At 44.2% G+C, this 8,448-nt stretch overlaps 1 pseudogene; it reads right to left on the reverse strand.

Moving 5' to 3' along the window:
• CDKN2AIPNLP2 (CDKN2A interacting protein N-terminal like pseudogene 2) lies at nt 1,114-2,049 on the reverse strand (annotated as a pseudogene).

Genomic DNA, 8,448 nt, shown 5'->3' on the forward strand with positions numbered 1-8,448 from the left:
AAAATAGTTATTTTTCATAAAAATATGTTAACATCCAACGATTCCATCATTGCTTACTTCAGATGGATTTTTTTAAAAATTCTACTTTAGTTTTCTGTGTGGGGATGATGCTGGTGATTATGATTATGATTATTATAGAGACAGGATCTCACTATGTTGCCAAGGCTGGTCTTGAACTCCTTGGCTCAAGTGATATTCCTGCCTCGGCCTCCCAAAGTGCTGGGATTACAGGCATGAGCCATGGTGCCCAGCCTCTGTGGGGATTATTAACAGATATATAAGCAAAATCTTTTTGGTGTCCTCTAATTTTTTTTATGTGTGTAAACTCCTGAGACCAAAAAGTTTGGGAATTGCTGCTTTAGGAAAAACTACTCTTCCTTTTTTTAAAATTTTATTTATTTATTGGAGACGGAGTCTCGCTCTGTCACCCAGGCTGGGGTGCAGTGGGGTGATTTCAGCTCACTGCAACCTCCACCTCCAGGGTTCAAGCCATTCTCCTGCCTCAGCCTCCTGAATTGCTGGGATTATAGGCACGTACCACCATGCCCAGCTAATTTTTGTATTTTTAGTAGAGACAGGGTTTCACCACATTGGTCAGGCTCATTTCAAACTCCTGACCTCGTGATCTGCCCTCCTCGGCCTCCTGAAGTGCTGGGATTACAGGTGTGAGCCACCGCGCCAGGCCTCTTTTTCCTTTAAAAACAAAAGCACATCCACAGTTGTATTTCTCTTTTGCTACTGTTCCTAGAATAGTCTCAACCGTGCATAATAATTATAACTTTTAACCAAAGTAATGAACTTCTATTTCACGAGAAAAATTAAGGGCTAGATAATTAAGAAATGTCTGTTATACACAAGTATTTTTGCAGACAAACAAAATTCTGACAACATATAACACTGTTCTACATACTCTATATAGAACATATAGCCAGACACATCCCTTTTACACCTTAGTGTGGCAAAAATGAACACCTTCATTACAACACCCCAAAGATATAGCCTCTCTCTAACATACAAAATATATTAAACCTCCTGGGGGACAGAGAGAGACCCTATATAAAAAATCCTGAAAAATCTTTCTTTTTTTATTTATTTTTATTTTGTCTCTAATTGTGTGTGCCATCACGCCCAGCTAATTTTTTTGTATTTTTAGTAGAGATAGGGTTTCACCATGTTGGCCAGGCTGGTCTCGAACTCCTGACCTCAGGTGATCTGCCCACCTCAGTCTCCCAAAGTGCTGGGATTACAGACGTGAGCCACTGCGCCAGCCCAAAAAGGCATTTTAAGCAAAAATTCTGATACTTAAAAACTGAAAATATGAGCCTAGGAGTTCGAGGCTGCAATGAGCCAATACTGCACCTTTGTACTCCCACCTGGGTGACAGAGTGAGACCTTGTTGGTAAGAAAAAAAACAGAAAAATAGAAAAAGAGGGCTTTTGCTATGTTGATGAACTCAGAGTGCATGATTTATAAATACATAACCATCCATACATACTTTTGCAGTGATAACCACTGGAAAAATGAGAATGTTAAGCCAATCTAGACAGAGTCCTTCTCATTCCACCTGCCTCTTTATGTTGGTAATACCAGGAGTCTTAAGAGAGCTGCTGTGGTCTGTGTCACATTCATCCCAGCCTCCTTTCTAATCCTGTAGCTGATGATGAAAATGTGATAAATCTTGTGGCTTACCTTTGATGCTTTTTCATTAATTATCTTCTGGTAGTAAATTGTGGCAAGTCTTCCACTTCCATCCCATCAGCCATTCCCATCACCTTGTCTAAAAGGTCTTTATTGTAACTGCAGCCCAGGAAGAGGTGGTTGGCCCAGACCATGAAGAAGGGACAGCAGCTGGTCCAGGCGGCCACCGCTGTTGGGTGGGTTGCGGTAGTTGGGCAGGTGGCGCAGCATGAATTCCATGCGGGCCTTCCATTGCTTCTCGCTCTCTGAGTAGGAGCGGAACTGCTCCTCTAAGTCTGCCACCTGCCGCACCCCTGAGACCAGCTCCTCCACCGTGGTGGTCGCCTTGCCACCAACCATGGTGCCCGCTGCCCTAATTTTTGTATTTTTAGTAGAGATGGGGTTTCACCATGTTGCCCAGGCTGGTTTCGAACTCCTGACCTCAGGTGATCCACCCGCCTTGGCCTCCCAAAGTGCTAGGATTATAGGCGTGAACCACTGCGCCTGGCTGAAAGCCATTTTTAATATTTCATTTTTTGTGAAATTATGCTAAAAATTTTGGAGAGATATATCCCAAAATATTTACTGTGATTCTTTCTGGATAGTGAAATTGTGGATGCTTTTTTTTTTTAATTCTTTTTTCCACAGCAAATGTGTTCTACTCCTATAATAAAAAGAAATCAATAAAATGTAATTTTGAAAAGACAACATTTAAAGGCCGCTAACCTGAATTTTATTTACTGTGAGCAAATTTTGATATACTAGCAAGCCGAGTTCTCCCAGGCATCTATCTGCCTGAAATAATACCTGGGGTTGTTCATAAACCCAGGACTTTATGAGAACAACAAAGACTGAAGAGAATGATTAAACTCATATCATGAAATGAAAATGAAATGTTTCCAGCAGCCAGGCCCCAGATCTTCAGGAATGCTCAGCAAATATTACTTTCCTTTCTTCTCTCCCTTCCTTCCATTCAGCCTTTGACTAGGTCAAATGGCCTTTGAAGGTCAGTGTCCCATGTCACATGTCCTTGTGGCTTCTCTTGACCACCGTCCCTCATGGACAGTCTACAAGCTGTTCTGGGTCTAGAGTCTGACCTACGTGCCCACCTGAGCCTCTCCAAGTGATCATCACCAAGTTGAGTGTTCGTTTTATTCCCCAGGACCCCATCCTCCAAGCTAAAGGGATGATGGGCACACCTGAGGTCCTTGTAGGATTCTGGCCCCAGGAGCAATTCCTTCCTCATGCAGAATCTGCCCTCTGGGCAGGGATTAGGACTTATGTGGATTTAAGCACATTGTGGACACTGTAAACCACGGGGAACACTTGCTGGGGAATCCAGCATCAACTCTCACATCTCACTGGCAAGCTGGTGAGAACCCTTCTCTTGTCATGGTGGAAACAGGTCCCATGGCTAGGCATGGTGGCTCACGCCTGTAATCCCAGCACTTTGGAAGGCCGAGGCAGGAGAATTACCTGAGGTTGGGAGTTCAAGACCAGCTTGGCTAACATGGTGAAATCTTGTCTCTACTAAAAATACAAAAATCAGCCAGGCGTGGTAACGCACGCCTGTAATCCCAGCTAGTACTCGGGAGGCTGAGGCAGGAGAATCGCCTGAACCCGGGAGGTGGAGGTTGCAGTGAGCCAAGATCGCACCATTGCATTCCAGTCTGGGAGACAGAGCGAGACTGTATCTCAAAAAAAAAAAGTTCCTGTTCCGTTTGGGTCTGCGGGGCAACGTTTAGGAACTCTGAAGCTAGAGTGTGTGGGTTCAAATCCTGTCCCCAGTGTTCACTTATCCCAGGCACATGGCTCATCCTCTCTGCCTGTGTCCTCCTGGTCAACGTTAAGTTAATATAGGAAGTGTGAAGAACGGAGCCCAGTACACAGAAATCTGCACTCAGTGTTGGCTGTTCGTGTTATTTGTACCGAGCACTGTCTCCACAGGAGCAGCGGGGGCAGTACTGAAGAGAGGGCACTGATTGTTTCCTCTGAAACTCCTTACAGTCAGCAACCTCATCCCAAATGGTGCTAGACAAAGCCCCAGCGTTTCTTTTTAAGTGAAGCCAGAGTTGGCACCAATCTCAGCCTGGCAGGCAGCTTCTGAGCAAGGGGAGACCTGTCCTGCCCCAGGATGCCAGAGGGTGACCCAAGAACCGACTCCCTCCCCTTTGGCTGGAAGGTTGGACACAGCTGAGTAAAACTGACCTTGGACTTCATGTTCTTCAGAGTAGAGGCTGAGATGTGTATCAGACCAGAAGACAGCCAGGAGCTGCCCCCAAAGTAGCTTCTAGATGGTCCAGGGAGGGAGCCTACAGTACTGTTTGTCCCATGTTTGGACAGTCAGTGAAGTGGAGAGCAGAGAGTGAAATGAAGGACAGGCACATCTGTTGAAGATGCGGGGCCCAGGGCCTGGCTACTAGCGAGTATTTGGGTGGTCGCGGGTTATGGGTGTGGCTCCAGGAGGAGAGATTTTTGTTTTTTGTTTTTTCGAGATGCAGTCTCCCACTGTTGCCCAGGCTGGAGTGCAGTGGCACAATCTCGGCTCACTGCAACCTCTACCTCCCAGGTTCAAGTGATTTTCAGCTAATTTTTGTATTTTTAATTTAGACGGGGTTTCACCATGTTGGCCAGACTAGTCTCGAACTCCTGACCTCCAGTGATCCACCCGCCTCAGCCTCCCAGAGTGCTGGGATTACAGGTGTGAGCCACCACACAGGAGGAGAGTTTGAAAGCCCAGCTGCCTGCTAACACTTGGAGGTTACTGTCCCAACTCCAGCTCAGACTGTGTTGACTCAGGGCGCCTCTCAGCCTAATATACCGTGACACTTCCTCACACGGTCTATTTGACTTGAAACTTATATTTAGGAATTGCACTAAGGAAAATATTCTGCCACCAGAACTGTTCAAAACTTACTTGTTCTAAATGGTGCTTAAATTTCCCCAAATTTAAAAACAATACTAAACAATTTACCTGATATCAACATAACCAGGTTATGTTGGTAAAGGTGAGGAAAAAAATTCTAAACAATCAACAACAGCCAAACTTTGCTCAATCATGCTAAAAAAAAAAAAAAAGTTAATTATCTGTCTATTTTCACCATAGAAAATGTTTGCAGAACAAAAAATTATTGCAGCCCTTTTGCAACTGGGAGGCAACAAGCTTGAGAATAAAGGGAACAAACTAAAGATGGAGCCAAACACCAGAAAAACATCTATGGTATCCTGGAGCAGCTCAAGAGACATCAGTAACTGCCTAGTTCCTGGCTTCTTGTTACATAAGAAAAATACGACGGGTGTGGTGGCTCACACCTGTAATCCCAGCACTTTGGGAGGCTGAGAGGGGCAGGTAACCTGAGGTCAGGAGTTGGAGACCAGCCTGGACAACATGGTGAAACCTCATCCCTATTAAAAATACAAGAATTAGCTGGGCATGGTGGCAGGTGCCTGTTATGCTAGCTACTTGGGAGGCTAAGGCATGAGAATCACTTGAACCAGGGAGGCAGAGCCTGCAGTGAGCCGAGATCGCGCCACTGCAAGCCAGCCTGGGCAACAGAGCGAGACTGTCTCAAAAAAAAAAAAAAAAAGAAAAACCCATGTTAAAAAAAAGAAAAAAAAACCCATGTGTTTAAGCCACACACACACACATGAATGCATGCACATCCTGATGTTATATGATGAGGTAATAAACAATACCATCAAAACTGATGGGGAAATGTATTATAAATGTGTGACAAGCAGTTAATAAAAATACACTCTGAGAACCTTGTGGGGCTCCTGGAAGTAAAATCCATGAAAGTGTGGGCCCCCGACCAACACTGGGCCCCAAGGGATTTTTAATTCTCAAGCTAGTCTCAGCTCAGCCTCCAGCTGTTTGTCCATTCCTGACTCAATGCTCCTGCCAGTTCCTGGCTCCCGTGGCTTCTTCAGGTAGGCAGCTCTCAGCTGTGATTCTGTCTTCACTGCATCTTCATATTTCAAGGCAGTGGTTTGCCCTATGACCTCAATCCTCTGATGATCTTTACTTTTTTTTTTTTTTGAGATGGAGTTTTGCTTTTGTTGCCCAGGCTGGAGTGCAACGGCGTGATCTTTGCTCACTGCAACCTCTGCCTCCCAGGAACAAGCGATTCTCCTGCGTCAGCCTCCCGAGTAGCTGGAACTAAAGACACGCGCCACCACACCCAGCTAATTTTTGTGTTTTTAGTAGAGACTGGGTTTTGCCATGTTGGCCAGGCTTATCTCCACTTCTGACCTCAAGTGATCTGCCTGCCTCAGCCTCCCAAAGTGCTGGGATTACAGGCATGAGCCACTGTGCCCAGTCTGGAAGGCACCTTTAAACCAGGTCTTGGTAGCTGGTTGGAGAAGGGTAGGGAAGGGAATTCCAGCCAGGAAGTTCAGCATGAGACAGGCACAGAGGTGCCAGGTCTCTGGTCCATATTCAGGGTACCACAGGCCACCTATTTGCCTGGAAGCAGAATTAGTGGAGTGTCTGGGGTGCGGGGAGATAGTCATTGGAAAATGCACGTGCTGAGGACACTCACTTGGTCTCTGGTAGACTCCCTCTGAAGGCGGCCACAGTGGGTGGAGATCACTTGTGGAGATCACCTTTCTCAGCATCATCCTGGATATCACAGTGGACATTTACTGAGCACTTACTGGCTGGCAGGCATTGTGCTAAATGCCACATCTGCTTTTTTATTTTATTTTATTTTATTAAACTGTTAAAGATGTTCCATTTATTTTTTCAGTTTCTGTAAAAAGAAGACTGCTCCATAGTTTTTACTCACACCTCCCTGTCTGGTCTTTGCTTGAGTTGTCACCTTAGCCAGCCCGTTCTGGCATGTCACCCACGCCCCCAAAACTTACTCTGAGCTTGTTGGGTGAGCTTTAGGAGACATTGTGAGCTAGAGCTGCTGCAGTGGTGGGCCTAGAAATGTCGCTAGCTGATGGTGTAGCCCCTCCAGAGGGACATGCTGGACACAACCTTCCGTATTCTGCGCAGGAGAGCATCCCTCCAACTCCCCACCATATGAATGAAATTTTTCATATGAATGAAAATTTTGGCTGGAGTGCAGTGGCATGATCTTGGCTCACTGCAACCTCCGCCTCCTGGGTTCAAGTGATTTTCCTTCCTCAGGCTCCTGAGTAGCTGGGACTACAGGCGCGTGCTACCACGCCCGGCTAGTTTTTGTATTTTTTAGTGGAGATGGGGTTTCACCATGTTGGTCAGGCTGTTCTCAAACTCCTGACCTCAGGTGATCCACCCGCCTCGGCCTCCCAAAGTGCTGGGATTACAGGCATGAACCTGTAACAGAGCAAGACTCCATCTCAAACAAAACAAAAAACAAAACAAAACACCACATTTTTAAATAACGTGAGTCAAAGAAGTCTCGAGAAATTTTAAAATACTTTGAACTAAATGAAAATAAAACATCAAAATTTATGGGATGTAGTAAAAGCAGTGCTTACAGGGAAATTTATAGTATTGAAGTTATACATTAGGAAAGAAGAAAGATCTAACAAATAATCTAAGCTTTCAGCTTAGGAAACTAGAGAAAGAAGGCAGTGTAAGCCTAAAGGAAGCAGAAGGAAAGAAATAATAAGAATTAGAGAAGAAATCAATGCAATTGAAAATAGGAAATTAATAGAGAAAATCAATAAAATCAAAAGCTGGTTCTTCAAAAAGAGCAATAAAATTGATAAACTTCTAGCCAGGCAAATCAGAAAGACAAAAGAGACAGAAGAAACACAAATCGCTAATATCAGAGATAAAAGAGGGGGCAATCACTTCTAATCCTAAGAACATTAAAAGGATAATAAAGGAATTTTATGAAAAATTCTATGCCCACAAACCTGATAGCTTAAACAAAATGGACCAATTACTTGAAAGACACAAACTACTAAAACTCACACAAAAATAAATAGAGGCAAGGCCTGGTGGCTCATGCCTAAAATCCCAGCACTTAGAGAGGCTGAGGTGGGAGGATCACTTGAGCCCAAGAGTTTGAGACCAGCCTGGGCAACATAGTGGGATATCAACTCTATTTTTAAAATTTTAACATATATTTTAAACAATTTTAAAAAAGGAATAGCTAGTCTGCCTGGATGCAGTGGCTCATGCCTGTAATCCCAACAGTTTGAAAGGCCAAGGTGGGAGGATAGCTTAAACCCTGGAGTTTGAGACCAGCCTGGGCAACAGAGTGAGACCTCATCTCTACAAAAAATACAACATTAGCTGGGCATGATGGTGCATGCCTGTAATCCCAGCTACTTGGGAAGCTGAGGTGGGAGAATTGCTTGAGCCTGGGTGGTGGATGCTGCAATGAGCAGTGATCATGCCACTGCACTCCAGCCTGGGGGACAGAGTGAGACCCCCCATCTCAAAAAAATAAAGTGAATAAAATGATAATCTGAACAGGCCTATATATATATTAAATAAATTGAATCAATAACTAATAATCTTCCAAAAAAGAAAACACCAGGTCCAGATGGCTTTACTGGTGAATTCTACCAAACATTCAAGGAAGAAATAATACAATTTTCCTACAATCTTTTCCTGAAAATAGAAGGAGAGGGAATACTTCCTAATTCATTCTCTGAGGCCATCATTACCCTAATTCCAAAACCAGATAAAGGTTATAAGAAAGACTATAGACCAATATCTCTCATGAAGATAGATGCAAAAATCCTCAACAAAATAGTAAGTTGAACCCAACAATGTATAAAAAGAATTATACACTACAACAATGTGGGATTTATTCTAGGTATGCA

Source organism: Homo sapiens, chromosome 2, assembly GCF_000001405.40.
Source record: "Homo sapiens chromosome 2, GRCh38.p14 Primary Assembly".
In the NCBI taxonomy this organism is placed as follows: Eukaryota; Metazoa; Chordata; class Mammalia; order Primates; family Hominidae; genus Homo; species Homo sapiens.